Below are 23,708 nucleotides of genomic sequence, written 5' to 3'. Positions count from 1 at the left end.
CCATGGTGTCCCGGCCTCATCGGTCAGATTTCTTTACTGGCTCACCTGGCACACTGAAGGGCACTGATTGCCACATGTGCCCAACGTGTATTTACTGACAGCCAGCTCTAGTGATGGCTGTCATAGAAAGGACCCTCTAGTGAAGGAGGTAGGAATTAAGTAAGAAAACAAGAAGAAACACAATTGTGACGGGTGAGAAAATAGAAGAGCACACTACGAATGAGGACATGGGAGTGGGTTTGCCCACAGTCTGCTGGGTGCTCAGGGAAGAGCCTCCTTAATCTGTAGCACCGAGTCTCACTGATTCAGGAGGCTGAGAGACCACGCCAGACGGCAGGAGAGCAGCCCCAGCCTGAGCTGGGCAAAATGACTTATGAAGGCCGGGCCTCGAGTGCAGGTTTTAAATTATTTGCAGTGCATTGCACAGCCTGAACTCCATTACAACACTCAGCTATTTGTTTTTTCAGTCAATGTTGTGTCCTGTGTGCTCAAGTCAATCTGTCTGGTGGGAAGTGAGAAAGAGGCTGCAGGATTCCACGTGGGGACTGATGTGATGGGAACAGCCATGCCACCTAAGGGCACTGTCTTAGTCTGTTTTGTGCTGCAATAACAAAATGCTTGAGACTGGGTAATTTATAAAGAACAGACATTTATTTCTCACAGTTCTGGGGGCAGGTTTGGTGTCTGGTGAGCGCTGCTTGCTGCTTCAAGACGGCGCCTTCAGCACTGCATCTCCCACGTGGAGGATAGAAGGGTAAAAGGCCAATGCTGTGTGAATCCTCTTTTAAAAGGCCTCCATTTCACTCACAGGGAGAAGCCCGCATGACCTAATCACCTCCTGAAGGCCTCATCTAGCTACACTTTTGCAGTGGAGATTGTTCCCACATGAATTTGGGAGGGGCACAAGCATTCCAACCACAGCAGGTGCCCAGGAGCCATGCACGCACAGCACCCAGCCCTGGCAACCCTGAGGAGGCCTCCAGCACCCCCCAGAGCCCAGAAAGGGGCAGAAGGCACCTCAGACCACTGCCCTGAGGACACTGTGCTTCCCCCACCCCTTGGGCTTGGTCTGGACAATGGGGCTGGGAGGACCGGCTGAAGGGATGTCAACAGGGCTCTTATTTTATATTTTGTGCGCGTGCCCTGTCTTTTGTCTAGGTTGGAAACAGGGTGGCCCCTCGCCTCCTGCGCATATAGGGGCACGTCCTCACCATAACAGCCTCACAGCTGTCCACACAGTCAGTCTGTCCCAGATGAAGCCCAGGCTCCGCCGGAGTCTGCACGGCCTGTGTTGAGTCCATTTCGCAGTAGAAGTGAGCAGTGAGTAGGCTTTGATGTTGGCCTGGCAGTGGGTCAGCCACAGTCCACATCCACAGAGTGAGCAGTCAGGCACCGTTGAAATGTCACATTGATCATAGCACTCATCCAAGGATGTCATCATAGGGCAAGAATGGCCATGCTTACTGAACCATGAAAAAGTCTCTAGCAAGAAGAAAGTCCCTCCTACAGCCAGCGCGGGCATCTTGAAGGAAGGTACTGATGGGCATGACCTGAGATGACCTGAGATGGTTCCCTGGCTTCCCACTCTTGAGGGTGGCGGTGTGCATGAGGCGTGGGGGTAGGGGAGGCCCAGAGGGCTGATCACTTGGGACCATGTGACCACATCAATGAAACTTCCATCCTGGCCTTGGGGCGGAGCCTGTGTGCAGGGTGGAGAGGGCCAGCCTGGGGAATCCTTCCCCACAATGTTGTCAGGGAATGGCAGGGACCTGGAGAAGAGGGCAGGGTCCTGGCTAGGAAGGGAAGGATAGTGGGAGGCCTGGATGGCCGTCACATGTGGACTGGTGGGGTGGGGGCGTCAGTGTGGAAGTAACTGGCAAAACCCACAGTGGGAGGGAGCTGAGGGAATGAACAGAGGGAGCAGCAGGAAGTGAAGGTCAGCCGGGTGAGGTGCACTATGGGCTTGAGGAGGGCATGAGCCTGAATGTGGCCCTGGCTTTGCCCTCTGAGACACGAGGATGGGTTTCTTCAGGAGTGGTACTTAGTTCTGTCCACCATTTCCATCCACAATGTAGATTTGCACAGAGAAGGCCCAGAAAATGTGAACCAGTACATGATATACTTCAGGCCTCTCAAAGTCTCTGAGAAGTCACCACTGCTGCTCATGGAAAAGAGGAACACCATCTATATAAGTCATTGAGGGGTTGGGCTGCTTTACCAGCTACACAGTTGTGCGATGACTGGAAACTTGCATCAGGCAAAGCCAGGGAAATGCGCCCAGGCTGTGGTCGGCTGGGGGTTTCAGTTCTTCCATCTAAGGCTCGTAGAATTTTGTCTCAATTCTAAAACCTAGGTAGAAGTAACTGACATTTTCAAAAAGTAGAGGTATAATCTGAAACAAAAACCCACATGCAGCTAGCTTATTTGGGAATGGATTCCAGGTAGCAAGGGAAAGAAACAGGGAAGACAGTGGTGAAACCCAAGGTAAGGAGGTGAAATGCACGTGGCGGTGGCTACCCTGGACTTGGGCTCAGCCCTGCAGGTCTTCTGAGTAAATTTATGGTATGAACTCTGGGGATCAGAGGGTTTCTTGGTTCCTGTAGGTAAGTGTGTCCCCAAGGTCCTGGGCTGTTATGGTGCCTAGAACTTGAGGTCTGAATTCAGTTCTGGCCCCCACCAGAAGAGCACTGGAGTATCAACCTGATTTCAGGCAGGTGGATCCACCAGTGCTGGTAAGGAGGGGTCCTAACATCTCCCCTGCTTAGCTCTCCTGCATTTTCAGAGGGGTGGTGTGGGACATGGGGAGCACCTGGTCACCCCCACCAGGTAAGGAGTGCATTGCGGGAGGTTATGGACTATTTCCAACACACCAGCTGTGAGTAGACCCCACGCCCAGAATTTTTTTTTTTCCCCTGAGATGGAGTCTTGCTCTGTCGCCCAGAGCTGGAGTGCAATGGTACGATCTCAGCTCACTGCAACCTCTGCCTCCTGGGTTCAAGCAATTCTCCTGCCTCAGCCTCCTAAGTAGCTGGGATTACAGGCATGCACCATCATGCCCAGCTAATTTTTGTATTTTTAGTAGTGACGGGGTTTCACCATGTTGGCCAGGCTGGTCTTGAACTCCCAATCTCAAGTGATCCACCCACCTGGGCCTTCCAAAGTGCTGGGATTATAGGCGTGATCCACTGTGCCCGGACCCCATGCCCAGAATTCTATTCTTAGGAGAAAACTGTGGACCATCCAGCACAACCTCCATCACCACAAAGGGCAGAACCCAGACCCAGTGGCACAGGCCCAAGGCAGCGACTGTCCCTGGATGGAGGCCCTGCTCCTGTGGAATGGGGACGCTCTGCCTTCACAGCCTGTTCTGGCTGTTCTCTGAGCCACATCTAGGAAGCCAAGGACTACCCAGTGGCTGAGAGCACATTCATTCCTAAACCAAGAAGGAGGTTTAGGGAAAGAGATCCTTTGCCCTGATTCCACTGCAAGGAGACTTGTATATGCTAAACCTCACAGCAGCTTTAGGCAAACTTGTTCCCACCCAGTTCTCAACAAGAAAGCCCGGGATAAAATGGAGCTTCAGGGAGCCGACTGGTCTTTCTCCTTTCATGCTCACTACCGTGAAAGCCTTGGCTACTTTGCAGAGCCATTTCTTCTCTCCCTGCTTTGTCCTCCCTGAGGTCCCTATAGTAATGGCAAAGGGAACTCTGAGGCTGAATGTGTATGCACAATGGTTATTAAGATGAAAACCCATCCAAGGAAACCCAACAGTGGTTTCAAGACACTGCTTCATTCAGCACTCCTGGAGCAAACCTTCATCTACATTATTAAACCATAGGAGAGCCAGGCTGGCCTGAGCCTCACACACCTGCCTAGGAAACCCTTAGAAAAGCATTCCCATGCAGGCCTCGATTTATCTGGGTCTTGCTGTTGTACCCAGAGCTTCAGGACAGAAGCAACAAACAGGCAGCTAGGACCCTGAAAGAGAGAGGAGTCACCTAATTGTGTCACTCTCTAGGTTTCTACTGCCTTTCATAAAATGTCCACATTCCTAACGTGCCCCATCCAGTTCTCTGCCCGTTTTTGGCTCCATCACACTGATGTGCTGAGGTTTCACAAGCACCTACGTTCTTATTCTTGCTACCTGACTTCGTGTGCACCTGCCCCTCTGCTGTGTGCCTGCAATGGTCTGCTGACTCCTCATCTCTTCTTGGGCCCATCCTGGTTCCCAGCCAAGTTCACTTCTGCTCATTTTTTGGGCCCTGACTTGACTGTCATTCCTTCCAAGAATGGCCACAGACTCCTGTGACTGGGTGGGTGACCCTTCTTAGTACAACCAAAGCACCTGACCTGACACTATCCTGGCACTGAGCATACCTTATTGTGCAGGTGTATTTCCTCGTTTGCCCTTCCTCAACCATCCCAGCAAGGAGCAGCCTGAGGGGAAAGATGCTTGCTGTTATGTCTCCAGCATGAACGGGAACTCAGCAAAGTTCAGTTGAATGTGTCAACCTATAAAAAGAATACCAGAAAAGAATCTCCAAATGTGTTAAATTTATTGATAAATAGAAAAGAGGATTACAATCTGGAATATACCATGGCAAGCCATAGGTGTGACCAGTGACGACCAGTAAGAGGAAGCTTTTTTGGCCAAAAGGGAGGAATTCACTTAAGCTGCTGGGAAATAGATTTCACTAGTTCTGGAGGCCCAAAGTCAGCACTGGCATCAGTCCGTTGGTGGAGGTGTTGTTACTGGGCAGGTGCTCTCTCAAGGGCATTTTATCTGAATTGCTGCCGTCCCAAAGAATGTCCAGTGATAAACCTTATCGTAGAAATATACGCATGCACGTGAAATGTGCAAGCCATGCAGAGTGGGAGATGCATGAAAGATGTGAAGGGTTTTCTTGTGGGGTTTGAGAAAGTCCTTGGAAACTGTTTTTATACAGGCAAGCATGAGCACCCTCCTTCATGTCTAGTTTGCCCTGTTTTGTCTGGGTCTGTCTGACAAGAGTGATTTCATCCTGGTGTCTGTAACTTTCACAAATGCATAGAAAATAACTGGTAGACTGCTCCTCTGGTTGAACACACCACTTCCAAAGACCCCGAGAGGAGGGAGGAAACTTTAGATTGAATAAAATGTCTGGCAAATGAGGGCATAAATTCTCACCTGCAAAAAGTCAATAAGTAGATGGTCTATCAATTTTTCTCACTGTTCTCAGTGGTTCTGCACTGCCTGAAGACGTAGAAACTGCTGCTACTGCATGATCTGGCCTCCTTTTCTCTTCTTCCTCTTGGTTCTGGGCTTCAGCACTGGCTTGGGGAACATTCCAGCTTCCCTCCTATCCATGCTTCAGACTTCACTCTGCAAGGTTGGCACTCGGCCCCAGACTGACCCTTATTGTTTCCATTAGGGCCTTGCTGTGGTCTCTGCTCCTCCATAACCACACTTGTGCTGTGCTCTGGGGAGAGACTGGAGGCCCTGCCACCTGCCAGCTCCATTCCTGGTAGCCCTCAGGCCATTGCTGCCTTACCTGCCCTGGGTGGGCAGATGTGATGTGCCCCCACGGCAGCTCTGTAGGTTTCCTGCCTGCAGGAGAGCGCGTGCTTTGGCAGATTCGCGGGGTCTTCCAAGAAGAGAGCTCAATGGGGCATATTGGGTTCCCTCCCTGCAGAGTGACTGGGGGAGGCCCAGAGGCTCTGGGTGCTCACCAATGCCTGTCCCCTTCTCCATAGCCTGTGCCAGTGGGAGTGGGAGTGGGGACATAAGCAAGGAAGAGACAGTGAGATAGAAGACAGTGAGACCAAAGCTTCCTATAGCTGAACAGTCAAGTGCCTACAACTGGAATAATCTCCAAGGTCGTCACATACAATCCATCGTTTGACCCTGGAATCGCCACCACACCCTGTGACATGGTCATCTGGACAGTCCCAGTGCATCCTGCCTAATGCAATAATTGCATCATTACTATTCCCCAGTGAGCATCCTGGCACACTGCTGTTTTTCACACTGCTGTGGGTATTTCTGAAGGATAGGTGTCTGTGGAACGGCTGAGCAGGGGTATACATACTTCACACGGTGCTGCCTATTACCTGCAGGTTCACACGCACACACACATAGCAGTGTACAGCAGTTATGGGCTCAAATGAAGAAAGGCCTTTCTCATAAACTGTCCCTTTGCAGATTGGACTACCTGGGTTGAATGAGTGTTCAAGAATCTGGATGATTAGGATGCTGTAGCAGGGATTTCCACCCTGAACTCAGCTTGTGAGAAGCTCTGGAGAAACCCCAGGGCCTCCTCCTAGGCGGCCGGTCGCCAAGCAGGGCACGCTTGTGGAGGCAGTGGATTCTCCAGGCCAGCCTGAGACAGCACCTTCTCCCAGGTCTCTGTGAGGCTTTCCACTGGACCCTGCTTGTCCTCTCCTTAAACTCACGCTTGTCGACTGCAGTCTCAGCTGGAGGGCCCAGGCACTGCTGTGACCCTGTCCCAGTTGTCTCAGGGAAACAGTGAGTTTTTTTCCCACTAGGCAGGAGATCTTCCCGGGTGTCCTGAATGTGTAGAAAGAAAAGCCAGTGGCAAGCATGGGTGTTGGATGCTCTACACTGACTCTGAGGGAAGGACCTGCTGGTTCTATAGGCCTTTGCCGGCTGTGGCCACTCACTCTGGTGCCGGCCCTGCCTCACCTGGCCTGCTCCTCACAGCCAGGACAGCTGATGGCACTGATGCCGGATAGGGATGATGGGTGTGATGTCACCAACATCCTTGGGAAGTGGGGTTGTGCACAGCTGTCGCCTCTCATTTTGTGCTGATCTGGGCAAAGTTGTTAGCACACATTAGTGCACAGTGAACATTTCACGCTGTCTTCCCATTTACAGCTGTCCCTCCAGGTCCCCAGGGAAGGCACTGGATCTGCCCGTGCCCACAGCGAGGCTGCTGGGAGCTGAGCAATACAGCAGCAGAGTCCTGCTCATGCTTCTGTCTGATCAGGACAGTTCAGCCCCCGGCTTTCGATTCCCCAAAAAGGAGGCCACTGAGCGTAGGGGAGAAGCAGCGGCCACGAAGTGTCCAGGGCCTCCTCCTTGACCGATGCCATTCCATGCAGCTGCAGCTGCACTTCCTTCCCTTTGTGACCAGCTCCTCCTGAGCTACCCCCTCCATGCCGAATGCATGGCCTAAAGATGGGACGCCAGGCCATGGACTGGATTAGATCATGGAAGGAGGAAACTTAGTGAGAGTGCCTGCCACCCCACCCTGCATTTATACTGAACTGAGAAGGGGGAGAGCTCAATGGGGGGTGTTATGGGCTACACTGTGTCCCCCAAGTTTATATGTTGAAGCCCTAACCCCCAGAACCTCAGAATGTGACTGTATTAGGAGACAGGGTAGGTAAAGAGGTGATGAAGTTAAAATGAGGCTGAGGGTGGGCCCTAATCTGATATGATTGGAGTCCTGATAGGAAGGGGAGGAGACACCAGGGGTGCACAGGCACAGAGGAGAGGCCACTCCAAGATGCAGTGAGCAGACGGCCACCTCCATGCAGATGAGGGAGGCCTCAGGAGAAACCAAACCTACATGCACCTTGATTTTGGACTTCCAGGCTCCAGAGCTTGAAAAAATACATTTCTGTGGTTTAAGCTGCCCTGTCTGTGACACTTTGTTACGGCAGCCAGAGCCCACTAATATGGCAGCAGTGGGAGCAGGAGCGTAAAATGAGTGCAGCCGAGAAAGTCAAAGGGGGCTTCGTCTCACAGAACAGGCAGTGTTTCCTACAGATCCACATGGGCTCGGCCATGCGGGTGGAGCTAGTGACCCTGACACTGGCATCCCCTCCCTCCCTGGGGACCATGTGTGTTTCTTCTCATATTACTCACCCTTTGGTGTGTGGCAGGGAGCTTTCATTATCCCCATTCAGCAGCTGAAAAAATGAAGTTCACAGATTGTCTGATTGGCCTGTCATTTTATAAATGTTTTGCGGCAAGTCTCCTGACCTCTTATTGAATCCCCCAGAGCAAGGCTCCCAGGTTGCTCTGCTGAGCAGGGTGATTCTGAAACTCCAGGTTGGAGCCCATTTGCAGCTGCTGCAGTTATTACAGCTTTGCCACATCGGTCTGGCCTGATAGAGCAAAGCCAAGCACAGGCTTCTGTCCCAGATGGATGCACATGTGACGGCGTCTCCACCACCGGCATGGTAGTTGCAGCTGGCAGGAGCCTTTGGTAAGCCCACTGAGGGTGGCGGTGAACTTCAGGCTGGAGCTGGGATCTGGGAGTGGAAGCTGGTTTCCCTCCCAACCAGAGAGGGTGGGGGAGAGCTCAGGCCTCCAGGAGAGCAGACGTGGCTGAAAGGAGTTGACTACCCACATGGCTTTGACCTGTGGCTCGTGGGGAGAGCCCCTCACTGCTCTCCCCTGCAGGGTCCTCAGCAAGTGTGTGGCTCTGCAGTACTTGGTGCAATGGTTTGCTTGTGTTTGTATGCCTGTGTGTGTGCACGTGTGTTTGTTTCAGGAGTGACAACCAGATATTTAGGTTACTCTGGGAGAAAACCAGCCTCACAGAGGCAGCAACACTAATTCTGCTAGCTCCCGCCTCTTTAGGGCTCCCTCTTGCTTGAATACCCAACTCATCCCACAACACCAGACATGTATTGTGATCCCTCCCCTGGGCCTTGCTTGGGCTTGGCCACGTGTTGTGTGTCACCATAGAAGACACCTTCTGTGTCTTCCTTCTCTGGAGCCAGAACTTTCTACAGAAGACTTCCTTTCCATGGTTGGCCTAAACACTGCCTTGGTCGTTTCATAAATCTTAGCAAAATGTCCTCTCTCACCTTGGCAACTCTCCCCCGCCCCAACCAAGTCATGGCCGGGATATGGTTCCAGTTGTCTGGAGCTGTTGGCAGCTGTTTGGAGTGGCTCCCACTTTTGTGGAACCCTGAGCCACAGGGCTAGGTGGCAGGCACCCGGGGTGGATGTAGTGAGGAAAGAGATTCCTTTTCTTCCTTGTGTGTGTGGTGAGGGGGTCCACAGCTCTCTGCCAAGGTCCTCTCTGGGTGAGAACAGGCTCTTGGGGAGTCCCTTGATTCATGGGTGAGAGCTGGATCAAGTGTCACAGGTAAGTGAGTAGCTGCAAAACCCAGATGCATGGTGGGTGGGTGAGGGGGCTATCTAGCCCCTAGCCACAGCTGCAGTGTTTGGGAGCAACTTTTTAATGACTCAAACTCATTCCTTGTGAAAAATGGCAATTGGAACACATCATATTTGAGAGGAGAGCAAATGTGCAAAAATAAGATAAGGACCTGAACTGGAAGCAGAAAGAATTCTTCTCTTTTTTCCCCTTCCAGAATTACCAGTATAAACGATCCCATTTTACATTACAAGCTAGCTTAGACACTAAGCAACTTAATTGCATGTTTGTTTTTACAAAATGATGTCCATGACTGGTGGAACTGCAGAATTTAATTGGGGAGGGAGAATCAAACAGCACCTGTGTCAAGCCAAATGAACATCAGCTACAAGTGCCCACCCATGCCTAGAGCAGCTGCATTGCCAGCACTTAGCCCAGGGCTGGGTCATTCTGTGGCCGAGCAGAGAGCTCTCCTCCCTGGCTCACAGCTGGACCGGGGTCTGCCAGCTATCCCATGGGATGCAGGGTGGGTGGGCCTCTGTTCAGGTCCCAGCCCTGATACGGTGTGTCCCCCTCTTATTCTTTTGCAAAATCATCTTTGTTATACTTGGGCCATTAAGTTTCTACATAAATATTAGAATCAGCTGGCAAATTTCAGGGAAAACTCTGCTGGGATTTAGATTAGAATGACATTGAATTTGTAGATGAGTTTTGGGAGAGCTGACATTTTAAGCTGTTGGATCTTGGCAGACATTAGGCTGATGGAGTTCTTCATTTGTTCAGCTTTTTGCTGTGCCTTTCAATCAAGTTATCATTGATATACACAGAAGTCCTGCCTGTGTTTATTTGGAATTATTTTATATGATTTATTTTCTGTGCTATCATGACTGGAATCTTCTATTTTATTGCCTATTCTTAGTGGTTATTGCTAATCAATGGAAATGTTTTTAATTTTTGCATATCCATCTGATAATCAACCATTTATACTAAGTAGTTTCACCATTAGTTCTACCATGTTTAACCATTTATTCTAATTAGTTCTAATGGTTCTAATAAATTTCCTAAATTTTCTAAGTAAGCAATCATAATGTCTCTGACTTCTTTGTCTTGTTTTGTTTTAGCTGACTTAGTGTGGTTATCGTGACTTCTGTGTTAAAGAAAATGTTTTTAATGACTCATTATTAAGTGTTTGTTGTAGATGTTCTTTATCATTTAGGAAATTCTATTTCTTGCTCACTGAAATTGCCTATTTTTAAACCATGAATAATAGGTGGTAAACTTGATTTAAGCCTTTTTAGTATCTATTGATACAACCCAAATATTTTTCCGTGTTAAAACATGAGTAATGTATTTCATTTTCCAATGGCTTGTTTTAATTACTGTTTATCATCTATCTAAGACATGCATATCAATATTTCCAAAATAGGGATTTACCTTAAAATCAATAGTCTGTTATAGGTTTGGAGAAGATTTTTTTTTTCAAATGGAAAGTCTTTTCTGCTTAGTGTTGCATTAAACATCCATGTGTTATAATCAATAGCATTTCAGATTAACAAAACGCACTGATAGGTTTTCTAATGTTTAAATATTTAGCAGTTCTGGCATAAACTCAACTTAATGTATGTTATATAAGATCTCTGTATTTACTTCATAAGAATGGGCTGTCATTTTTGCCTTCTTTACTGTCCTTGATTTTGGTATTAAGGGGTTACGCTTGCTTTATAAAGTAGCTGTGGGACATTCCTTTTAATTTCTTCTCTGGGAGGGCCTTTTTAAAAAGTTGGTTTTATTGAAATGTAATTGCCATTCAATAAACTACATATATTTAATGCATACAGTTTGTTATCTTTTGACGCATGTATGCACCTGGGAAGCTGTCACCACGGCAGGGTAATGAACATACAGGCCACCACAAAAAATTCTTCCTCCTTCTTGAATCCCATTCCCTCCTCTGAATTTTCCCAAAATAGTCCCAGGCAACTACTGCTCTGCTTTCTATTACTAAAGCTTAATTGGCATTTTAATAAATTTATTTAAATGAATCATAGATTATATACTCACTTTTGTCTGGCTTCTTTCACTTGGTGTAATTATTTTGAGCTTCCTCTGTATTTTTGCATGTGTCAAAAGTCCATTCCTAAATGGACTTTTTCTTTGAGACGAAGTTTCTCTCTGTCACCCAGGCTGGAGCGCAGTGGCGCTGTCTTGGCTCACTGCAATCTCTGCTTCCTGAACTCAAGCGATTCTCCTGCCTCAGCCTTCCGAGTAGCTGGGGTTACAATAATGCACCACCACGCCCGGCTAATTTTTTTTTTTTTTTTTGGTATTTTTAATGGAGATGGGGTTTCACCATGTTGGCCAGGCTAGTCTTGAACTCCTGACCTCAGGTGATCCACCCACCTCGGCCTCCCAAAGTGCTGGGATTACAGGCGTGAGCCACCACGCCCAGCCCTGCTTTCTATTTTGAAATACAGGCTCACAAGGAGTTGCAAACAAATGTTCTGGAGGACCCATTTATCTTTCACCCTGATTCTCTCGATGGTGACATCTTGAACGATTATAGTACAATGCCAAAACCAGGAAATTAGCAATCCACAGAGCTTATTCAGATTTTACCAGTTTGACATCGTTGCCTGTGTGTGTGTGATTTTGTCACATATGTAGATTTGCATCACCACCACTACAGTCAAGAAACACGGTTGCATCACTGAGCAGCTCACCCCTGTTACCCCCTTATACAGCCACACCCACACAACAACCCCCCTCCCTAACACTGGACAAACACTACTTTGTTTTCCTTTCTGTAATTTTGTTATTTCAAGAATGTTCTATAAATGAAATCATATACTATGTGCACTTTTGAGATTGGCTTTTCTCCCTTAGCATAATATTCCTAAGGTTTATTCAGGTCACCGTGTGTATAAATATTTCTTTCATTTTTGTTACTGCTAAGTAGTATATACCTTGGTATAGGGGTACCTCTCAGTTTCTTTATTATTCAGCTCTTGAAGAGCATTTGGGTTGTTCATGGGTTTTGGCTATTAAGAATAAAGCTACCATTAATATACCTGTACAGGTTTTTGTGTGAAAGTAAGTTTTTATTTCTCTGGGATAATGGCCAAAGAGTGCAGTTGCATGGCAAGTACATGTTTAGTTTTAAGAAAGTGACCATTTTCCAGGGTTTGGTCTACATTTGGCATTCTCACCAGCATTGTATGAGTTCGTTTTTCTGTATCTTCACCAGCATTTAGTGCTATCATTTTCTTTTTTAAACCTTTGCGATAGGTGTGAAGAGAGAGAGCATTGTTTTTAATCTGCATTTCCCTAATAGCTAGTGAGTTGAACATCTTTTCATGTGCTTATTTGCAATTTGTATATCCTTTCTGGTAAAATGTTTCTGTATGTCTTTTGCCATTTTCTCATTGTATTATTTGCATTTTTTACTGTTAAGTTTTGAGAGTGTATTATATCCTCTCTATATAAGTCCCTTTAAGGATATGCGTTTTTTTCTTTTTAAAAAAATTTTATTTTTATTTTAAGTTTTGGGGTACACATGCAGGAGGTACAGGTTTGTTACACAGGTAAACATGTGCCATGGTGGTTTGCTGCACCTATCAACCCATCATCTAGGTATTGACCCCAGCATGCGATAGCTATTTTTCCTAATGCTCTCCCTCTCCCAACCCAACTCCCTCAAAAGGCCCCAGTATATGTTGTTTCCCTCCCTGTTTCCATATGTTCTCACTGTTAAGCTCCCACTTAACATGGGAGAACATGTAGTGTTTGGTGTTCTGTTCCTGCATTAGTTTGCTGTTATACACCATGGAATACTATGTAGCCATAAAAAGGAATGAGATCATGTCCTTTGCAGAGACATGGATGAGCTGGAAGGATATGTGATTTGAAAACATTGTCTTCCACTCTGTAGCTTGTCTTTTCATTGTCTTTAAAGGGTCTTTTACGGACCAAATGTTTTAAATTTTGATGAGATTCAATTACATATTTTTTTGTGTGTCAACTTTAATAACTTCAGCTAGCTCTAAGTCCCAAAGATTTCCTCCTATGCTTTCTAAAGGATTTGTGGTTTTAGGTGTTACATTTAAGCATATCTTCTCTTTTTTTGCCTGTGGATGATCAATTGCTCCAGGACCATTTGTTGAAAAGCTCTTCTTCCTTTCCTTTACTGAACTGCGTTTGCACCTTTTCAAAAATCAGTTGGGTATATTTGTATCAGTCTATTTCTGGGCTTTCTATTGTGTTTCATTGGTCTATGTGTTTATTCGTGTGCCAATACTACATTGCCTTGATTACTTTAGCTATATAGTTATCATTAACATTGGGTAGAGTTATCCCTCTAACTTTACTCTTCCTTTTAAAATCATGTTTAGTTATCATAAGTCCTTTGCTTTTTCATGTACATTTATGAGTAAGCATCTATGTCTACAAAAACTTTTCTGGGAATTGGATCAGGATTCTGTTAAACCTACTGATCTATTTGCGAAGAGTTGATGTTTGCACAATGTTGAATGTTCCAATCCGTAAACATGACATGTGTCTGTATTTATTTAGGTCTTATTTGATTTCCTTTTTAAGCATTTACAATTTTCAATATACTAATATTTTCAATTTAGTTAATTACTGCTTTTATATATATGGTGTGGGTTTTATATTAGTTTTTTAGTTAAATAGATAACTATTTAGATAGTATGTTTTGATGAATAAAAATTTAATTTTGATGAAGTAGATTTATCTACTCTTTCTTTGGTTGCTCATGCATTTGTCATATCTAAGAAATTGTTCCCTAATCCAAAATCATGTAGATTTATACCTATTCTTTCTTCTAATGGTTTTGTAATTTTAGCTCTTGCATCTAGGTCTTGATTCCCTTTTGAGTTGTTTTTTGTATACCATTTGAGGTAGAGTTCCAAGTTCATTTTTTAGCATGTATACATTCAGTTGTACAACCATCATTTGACAAAAAGGTTATTCTGTATCCCCTTACATGATTTAGGCATAAGTGCCAATCATCAGTTAACCATATAATTACAAGTTTATATTTGGACCCTCAATTCCATTGTATTTATTCATCTACATTTCTAACATAATGCCAGCACCACACTTTCTTGATCACTATAGATTTGCAGTAGGTTTTGATTTGGGAAGTGTGAGTCCTCCAACTTTTTTCTTCTTTTTCTAGACTTGTTTATCTATTCTGGCTGTTTCCTTGTTATCCCTGTCTATTGGGCTATTCCTTTGCTCAAATTTCCATATGATTTTAGTTTCCACTTACCCATTTCTGTAAAAATGGCACTTGGTATTTTGATAGGTATTGTATTGAAACTGTAGATCAATTTGGGGACTGTTGCCATTTTAACAATATTAAGTTTTCTGATCCACTACATAAGCTATCTTTGCATTTTTAAGGTCTTGTTTAAATTTTCAGCAATGTTTTGCAGCTTTTAGTGCACAAGTCTTCCCTTTTTAAGGTTAAATTTTGTTATTATTATTCAACTTTTATTTTAGAATTGGGGTTATACGTGCAGGTTTGTTACAAAGATATATTGTGTAATGCTGGGGTTTGGAGTATAACTGAGCTCATCATCCAGGAAGTGAGCATAGCACTCAATAGGTAGTTTTCAACACTTGCCTCCCTCCCCTCTCTTGTATCCCCCAGTGTCTACTGTTCCCATCTTTATGTCCATGTGTACTCAGTGTTCAGCTCCCACTTACAAGTGAGAACATGTGGTATTGGTTTTCTGTTCCTGCATTAGTTTGCTTAGGATAATGGCCTCCAGCTGCATCCATGTTGCTGCAAAGACATGATTTTTTTTATAGCTATGTAATATTCCATGGCATATATGTATCACATTTTCTTTATTCAATCTACTGTTGATGGGGCACCTGGGTTGGTTCCATGTCTTTGCTACTGTGAATAGTGCTGCAATGTACATATGGGTGCTGTGTCTTTGTGGTAAAATGATTTATTTTTCTTTGGCTATATACTCAGTAATGGGGTTGCTGGCTTGAATGGTAACTCAACTCTTAGTTCCTTGAGAATTCTCCAAACTGTTCTCCACAGTGGCTCAACTAGTTTATATTCTTATCAACAGTGTATAAGCTTTCCCTTTTCCCCACAGTCTGGACAGCATCTGTCATTTTTTGACTTTTTAACAAAAATCATTTTGACTGGTGTGAGATGGTGTCTCATTGTAGTTTCGATTTGCATTTCTCTGGTGATTAGTGATGTGTGTTTTTGTTTCATATGTGTTTTGTCTTCTATATATGTTTTTTGGCTTCTATATCTTCTTCTGAGAAATGCCTGTTCACGTCCGTTGCCCACATAAAGTTGTTTGTTTTTTGCTTGTTGATTTAAGTTCCTTATAGATTCTGGATATCAGGCCTTTATCAGATGCATAGTTTTTGAGTTCCATCTTGTAGGTTTTCTTTGCATTTGGTTGATTTTGTACCTGGGAATTGTTTTCTTAATTTTATTTTTAGATTTTTCATTGCTAATATATAGAAATGGAGATTATTTTATATGTTGATCTTGTGTCTACTACCTTGTTGAATTAGCTTATTAGTTCTAACATTTTTGCAGGTTATTCTTTTGGATTTTCAGTATAAATTCATGTCATCTGCAAATAGAGATAGCTTTGCTGTTTTCCCTTTTCTTGCTGAATGTCTTTTATTTTACTTTATTGACCGAAGGACTGGCTAGACCTCCAGTACAATGTTGAATAGAAGTGGCCAGCGTGGACATCATTTACTTCTTCTTGAATTTAGGGGAAATTTTTCAGTCTATCACCATTAAGTTCTATATCAGCTGTGTTTTCATTCTAGATGCCCCTTTTCAGATCAAGTAAGTTCCCTTCCCCTTCTATTCTTAGTATTTGAGGTGTGTGTGTGTGTGTGTGTGTGTGTGTGTGTGTGTGTGTGTGTTTTAATGAAAGGATGCTGGATTTTGTCAAATGATTTTTCTGTGTCTGTTGAGATGATTATGTGTTTTTCCTCCTCTTATTCTACTAATGTGGTGTATAACATTGATTTTTATATGTTAAACCAATCTTGTCTTCCTAAGGTACATTCCAGTCAATCATGGTATGTAATTGTTCTTACGTGCTGCTGGATTCCATTTGACACTATTTTGTAGAAAATTTTAGTGTTCATATTCATAAGGATTATTGGTCTAATAGTTGTGTTTTCTAATGATTTATTTGGTTAGTTTTCGAATCAGAATGATACCAGCTTCATAGAATGCATTAGGATATATTCCCTTTTCTTTTACTTTCGAAAGAATTTATAAAGGATTGGTGTGAATTATTCCTTAAATGTTTAATATAATTATCCAGTGAAGTCCACTGCTACTGGGCTTTTCTTTGTAGAATTTTTAAAGAAAACTCAGTCAATCTACTTGTTATAGATATATTCAAATTTTCTGTATTCTTTACTTAGTTTTGTTTTTCTAGGAATTTGTCCATTTCCTCTTGATTATGTAAGTTTTTGTCATACAATTTTTCATAGTATTAACTTATAGCTATTCTTATTTCTGTCATGTTGGTAGTGATGTTTCCTTTTTCATTACAATTTTTTTTTTTTTTTGAGATGAAGTCTTGCTCTGTTGCCCAGGCTGTGCAGTGGCATGATCTCGGCTTACTGCAAGCTCCACCTCCCGGGTTTAGGACATTCTCCTGCCTCAGCCTCCCTAGTAGCTGGGACTACAGGCGCCCACCACCATACCCGGCTAATTTTTTGTATTTTGTAGTAGAGACAGGGTTTCACCATGTTAGCCAGCATGGTCTCGATCTCCTGACCTCGTGATCCACCTGCCTTGGCCTCCCAAAGTGCTAGGATTACAGGCGTGAGCCACTGCACTAATTTTTTACTAATTTGATTCTTCCCCCTTTTTTTCTTCATCAGTCTGGCTAAAGATTTGCCACTTTGTTGATCTTTTCAAGGACCTAGCTTTGGGTTTGTTGTTTCTATTGTTTTCTAGCTCTATTTAGTTTTTAATTTTACTCTAATCTTTATATATGTTTCTTCCTTCTACTTGCCTTTGGGTTAGTTTGCTCTTCTTTTATTAGTTTCTTAAAGTGGGAGGTTAGGCTATTCATGTGAAATTTTTCTTTTTCACCTTCATTTCTAAAAGGTATTTTTGAAGACATAGAATTAACAAGAAACAGTTCTTTGCTATAAGTGCTTAAAAATGTTGTGTTGCTTTATCTTAGCCTCCATGATTTCAGATGAGAAATCAGCTGTTATTCAAATTGTTGTGCCCTCATAAGTAATCTATTATTTATGTCTGACTACTGTCATGATTTTCCTCTTTAGTTTTCAGAATTTTAATTTTGTTGTATCTTGACTTAAGTTTCATTGTATATATTCAGTTTGGAATTTGCTCAGGTAGGGATACAGTGAGGGTTTCCATATGGGACGGAGTTTGCATGGTTTAAAACTCCCACTGGTACCAAAGGGGGAATAACCTAGGATTCTTATTAGCTTACCTAGATGTGGTGCAGAAAGGAAAAAGGAGTGAGGCTTAGAAGATGTTAGTAGTGAGACATCACAAAATGCAGTCAGACTCTTTATTTTAGTTAAGGTGTGTTTTATAACCCTGAATGTGGTTCTCTCTTGGTTCTCATGAAGAAGATAACCTTCCAGTGAAGACTGTACTGATCATGTATCAAAATGGCTACTTTCCCCATCCCCCTGCCAGAGACATAAGGTAATTTTTTTCCCAGCTCTTCACTGTGAGAACCTGGTGGGGTTTCTGGAGGTAAAACCTGTGAAAGTGTGGGCCCTTCCCGAAGACTACAGCCTCAGGAGTTTCTCACTCTCCTGCTAGTTCTCAGCCTTCAGCAATTTGTCAAAATTACCTTTTAAGTGTTTCTATTAGCTTATGACTTCAGGCTTTAGCTCCTAGTAAGCGGATCTCAGCTCTGAATCTCAGCATTCAGCTGTCTATCCAAATTTTAAGGTGGTTTCCTCTGCAACCTCAATTCTCTGATGGGTCCAGAGGTCATTGATTTTCAGTTTGTCCAGCTGTTTTCCTGTTGTAAGGAATAAAGTGATAATTTCCAAGCTCTTTTGAGGTTGAATCTGAAACTGAAAATATCCAGTAAATTTTCCATCTCCTAGGATATAGATTTCATTTCAGCAAGTTTGATTTTGGCCTTTATTATATCTCTGTGCCTCAGTTCATCTTTTTGAACATATGCAGTACAGTTATAATAACTTTTTACATCATTGTCAGAGTTGACATCTGTGTCAGTTCTCGATTAGTTTCATTTGAATGATTTTTCTTCTCACTTGGAGGTTTTGATTAGATGCCAAATATTGAGAATTGTGTTGTTAGATCCTGGGTATTTTTGTATTTCTATCATCATCCTTGAGCTTTGTTCAGGGATGCAGTTACCTAGTTTGAAACAGTTGGGTGCTTTCAAGTTTTTCTTTTACTGTGTTTTAGCTGAGTGCAGAGCAATGCTCAGCTTAGAGCTGATCCTTACCTACTACTGAGACAGGACCCTTCTGAGAACTCTACCCAATGATCTGTGTGTCCTAGATATTTCCGGTGGGGCTGTCGGAACAGGCTCTATTGAGTTCTGTGTGTGTGGCAGGTATTCATCATTCTAATCTTTTTCGGTTGTTCTTCTTCAGCCTCAGTTTTCTCATGAATATGTGGTGATCACTACTGTACTAAATACGTGTTGGGGACCCTCTAGGGTTCTCTCTATGCAGCTCTCTTCTCTCTAGTACTCTGCTTTTGGAAATCTATGTCTTGGTTTCCCCATGGTCTCAGTTCCATCTTCTTTTTTTTTATTACACTTTAAGTTTTAGGGTACATGTGCACAATGTGCAGGTTAGTTACATATATATACATGTGCCATGTTGGTGTGCTGCACCCATTAACTTGTCATTTAACATTAGGTATATCTCCTAATGCTATCCCTCCCCTCTCCCCCCACCCCCCAACAGGCCCCAGTGTGTGATGTTCCCCACCCTGTGTCCAAGTGTTCTCATTGTTCAATTCCCATCTATGAGTGAGAACATGTGGTATTTGGTTTTTTGTCCCTGCGATAGTTTGCTGAGAATCATGGTTTCCAGCTTCACCCATGTCCCTAAAAGGACGTGAATTCATCCTTTTTTATGGCTGCATAGTATACCATGGTGTATATGTGCCACATTTTCTTAATCCAGTCTCTCATTGATGGACATTTGTGTTGGTTCCAAGTCCTTGCTATTGTGAATAGTGCTGCAATAAACATATGTGTGCATGTGTCTTTATAGCAGCATGATTTATAGTTCCATCTTCTTAATGCAGGGAGTCTAATGGGCTCCCCTGGGATTTTTCCATCCTGTGCCATGACTTTGAAACTGTCTCAGTGTAGTAAGTTGTAGCAATTTTAGGGCTCACTTCATTCATTTCCTCTCTCTCAAGAATCTCTGTCCTTTGTTGCAGTGTCTTAAAAACCATGGCTTTACATATTTGATCTACTTTTCAGATTGTTTTATCTAGATAAATATATACAGTCTCTTTTATATTATTTTGGTTGGGAATATAGAATTTCCTTCCAAAACTGCCTGAGCTTGTGGCTTGTTTATTTTTGGTGGGTGTATGTGCCCTCCTAAACTTCATATGTTGAAATCTAACCCCCATGGTGATGATATGAAGATATGGGGACTTTGGAGCCTTCATGAATGGGATTAATGGCCTTTTAAATGAGGTCTGAGGGAGCTTGTCTGCCTTTTCTGCCATGTGAGGATGCATAGAAGGTGCCATCTATGAGAAACAGGCCTACACCTTCCACCAAATCTGTTGGCACCTTGATCTTGGACTTCCCAGCCTCCAGAATAGTGAGCAATAAATTTCTGTTGTTTATAAATTACCCAACCTAACGTATTTTTTATAGCAGCCCTAAGATATCTATTTTATAATTTTAAAATATCTACATATTTTTATACAGTTAGCCCTCTTTATTTGTGGGTTCCTCCTCTAGAGATTTAACCAACTATGGATTGAAAATATTTGAAAAAAAAAGTAACAATACAAAAATGAAAAAATAACACAAATTTAAAAATACACTTTAACAACTATTTACATAGCACTTACACTGTATTAGGTATTATAAGCAATCTAGACATGATTTAAATTATGCAGGAGGATGTGCATAGGTTATGCAAATACTATGCCATCTTATATCAGAGACTTGTGTATCCTCAGATTTCAGTATCTGTGGTGTGTCATAGAACCAATTGTCCGTGGATACTAAGGGGCAACTTAGTCTCTACTTTATTCTTAGCATTATTTTTTCTTTTTATTTTTAGAGTCTGTTAATGTTATTAGTCTTTTTTAAAGTATAACTTTTGTTTTTCATGAACTTCTCTATTTTTGGTTTTCTACTTTATACATTTTCACCCATCGGAGTTATTTATCTGTTTAGGTTCCTCAATTTACCCTTGTAATTCAGTCCGTTCTACCTTTATGTATATTTTAAACCATGTTATGAGGCATTTACAGGCTCTGGATCGCTATAGCTTTCTTGAAAATCGGTCATTTTATTGTGTTCAAGAATTCTTTTTCTCAATAACAATTGCCTTTTGCTTTAAATTTTCTTTTGTTAAACCAGTTTTCTTTAATATTTTCCTGGTATATCTTTTTCTATCCCTTTAGTTTCTTTTTCTTAACTTAATATTGAATATCTGAAAATGAGACTTGAGCCTTGTTTAAAAACTGAAATAGTCATAAGTGAGTGATGAACTTCTGGGATGCTCTCTCCGGAATAACTGTCCTGATCATATCTCCTGTCATCCCTGCTGCCAGCCTGTCCCTGACATTATGTTGGGTATGAAAAATCTTAGATTCTTGATTTGAGCATTGGAAAATATTCATGATCAGGCCAAAACTTGTATTTACCAATTTAATTTTTTTGCTTAATAATTATTTCAAAAAATGTTGTTGTTACATTATTAGAATCCTTGACATTATGCTAGATATTTGAGTTTAATTAGTCTAGGTTGGCAGTGTCCCAGTGGCCATGGAGTGGACTGTGTATGTTCTTTGCAATCCCAGGGGGAAACAGGAACACTCCTCTTCTCTTTACATTTTTTGAATTAGTCTCTCTGCTATTTTGCCCTCAACCCCTGCAAACCCCAATTTTCCAACCACCTATTTAAAGAACGTAGGATGCCGAACTGGAATTGTCCATGGTTAGCCTCCAATCATCCTAAGGACAGGGGCTGAGACTCCAGCAGGGGAAAGAATGGCTCCTGCTGGTCAGTGCTAGATGCCAGTGTCCACCTATCCATCATGTGCTCTCACTCCCACAGCGCAGCGGTGCTTCCGACTTGCTCCTGTCGGTATTCATCCAACCTGCTCTTCACTCTGTAGCTCCAGCTCTGCATCTTCCACAGTCTTTTCCATCGCCATGACCTAGAGCACTCGTCCCATCCTTCAATCTCATCTAGAGACCACACATGGCCTGCACACACTATAAACCTTTCTTCATTGTTTTTCTGTGCCATGAGCAAACTTCTGTTTTGTAAATTTGTGTGGGTTTGTGGACTGTTTTTCAAGTATGCTGTGAGCTTCTGGAGGAGAAAACAGCCTTCTATGCCTCTCTGTGTTCACCAGGGCCCTGATACAGATATTAGGTCACTAGACACCTTTTCATAGGTTCCTGCCTTGAGTGCTGCATCCCACAGTGAGCTCCTCCTGGGCATGACTGGGAGGGAGCACAGGCAGGGCCTCGAGCCTATTTGTATTTACTGAGCTTCCAGCTCCGCAGCTGCCCCTGGGAGCGGAGGCTACAGTAACTATCTGTCGATTTGAGGAGCTAGTGTGATCCATTTCCTCTCCTTCTCCTTCACCTCTGCATATAAACTGCTCTTTTCCCAAGGTGCTTGCCTTCATTATGACTGTAGGATTTCACAGAAATGCTGTTCTTCCTGCACCAAGACTGCACAAAGCTGGGGGAGACCACTTCAGGGATGAATACACCCAGTGACCCTTCAAAATTGCTCTCCCAAACGTTTAAAAAATTCTCCACATTTTTATCAAGAATTGTAATTTTTAATGCTCCTCTTTCAAACCCCCTCATCAAATATAACCTTTTCCTAGTTTTAGTGAGGAAATCTCCCCTGGTTCATTTGAGAGTCTGACAAGCTCTGCATACAAAATTGACAGCTGAAGATTTTTTTTAAATAGTAGTCAAGATTAGAGCTGTGTTCTGGCATTTTCCTCCCCACTCCTCTCTCAGCTTGAGTCATTTTGCCTTTTCCTCCGGCTCTGGCACCGCCCAAGCCTCTCCGAATGGAGCACCTGAATTATTAATGCTGCCCAGTCCCTCAGAGTGCCCACAAAGCTGTGCACAGCTCAATCTGAAAGGATGCACCGAATCATTAGATGCTGGCAGCCCACTCTCAGCCCTGCGATCACACCTGTCTAGAGACATTAATTTACTAAATGATTTTACCACTGCAAGTTTTTAGATTACTTCATGTTTAGCTCAATTAAGTATATTTTAACACACATTTATTAACCACCTACATTTTCCCAAGAGACTGAGGTGGGAGTTATGTTCTAAGTGGATCTCATAAATTAGTGGGGGAGGCAAACAGACAAACAACAAGGCAGGTGGAGGCAGGTGTCTGTAAAGAGGCACAAGGGGCATCAATACAGAGCCCAGGTCATCATCTCAGAATACAGGGTGGGAAACTTCCCGTCCCTGAATGTTGAGGACCTAGAGAAAGGTGGAGAAGGGATGGGCATTCCAGATGAAGGGAAGGGCATAAACAACACAGCCCAAATGAGACTGAGTGAGGAACGTTAACCAAAAAGTCTAAGTTGTGGGGGCAAGGGGAGGTTTAATAGTGCAACACAGGAAGTGTCACATCATCCTGTTCCTCTAATGGAGGCTTCTCAGTCAGATCCACACTGGAGATTCCTTTAAAGATAACAGTGAACTGAGTGAATACTTACTTGCTGGCGTGGGAGAGAAAATTGCATGCAGAAGTTGGAAAACTCAGGACAGAAAACTCCAGGATAAGTCGGGGTGAGCTGGCATCCAATGGGGACTTTGCTTCCACGGGGCTAAGTGAGAAACAGAGGATATAAGTCAGTCTTAGTTCTGCAGAGGCCAGCAGGAGGCCAAACCTCCTGGCAAAGCAGGTTATATAATTGGGAATTATTCTAGACTGATACAAATTTATGATGAAAGGCTGAGAATATATTATTTATTGAAATCTGACTGGAAGTATATAGAAAACAAATGAAAATTAAATGCATGGCTCTGGGGACAAGCAAACCCTGGTGATAAGAGGGAGAAGAACCAGAGCTGATCCAGACAGACCCTTCTCATAGATCCATCTGCCTCAGGGCTTGTACCAGTCTTTTCCTGAAGAATGAGGGGAAGTGTTTGTTAAAATATACTCTCTGTCTTTGTCTGTCAAAGTTTCCATTTCAGAAAATCCTACTAGAATTGGATTGACTTGCTGGAATTGTTGTAGTACTCACAGGTTTGTATGCCTGCTGCACAGTAACAGACCAAAACACTGAGACTACAGGGATGCAGCACAGAAAGAGTGTAGTGATCGCAG

The 23,708-nt window shown here is 43.4% G+C and overlaps 1 long non-coding RNA gene across 1 annotated transcript; it reads right to left on the bottom strand.

Annotated features, from left to right (window-relative positions):
• Window positions 1-817: 817 nt before the first annotated feature.
• LOC105373613 (uncharacterized) lies at window positions 818-23,174 on the bottom strand. The gene is made up of 3 exons (XR_001739710.2): window positions 23,092-23,174; window positions 4,378-4,512; window positions 818-2,349 (listed from the first exon to the last, which is right to left on the bottom strand). It is a non-coding gene; the product is annotated as an uncharacterized LOC105373613 (long non-coding RNA).
• Between the last annotated feature and the right edge of the window lie 534 nt (window positions 23,175-23,708).

This window comes from Homo sapiens, chromosome 2 (assembly GCF_000001405.40).
Source record: "Homo sapiens chromosome 2, GRCh38.p14 Primary Assembly".
In the NCBI taxonomy this organism is placed as follows: domain Eukaryota; kingdom Metazoa; phylum Chordata; class Mammalia; order Primates; family Hominidae; genus Homo; species Homo sapiens.
Note: the sequence above shows the minus strand (reverse complement) of the source record. Positions and strands in the feature narration are given on the sequence as shown.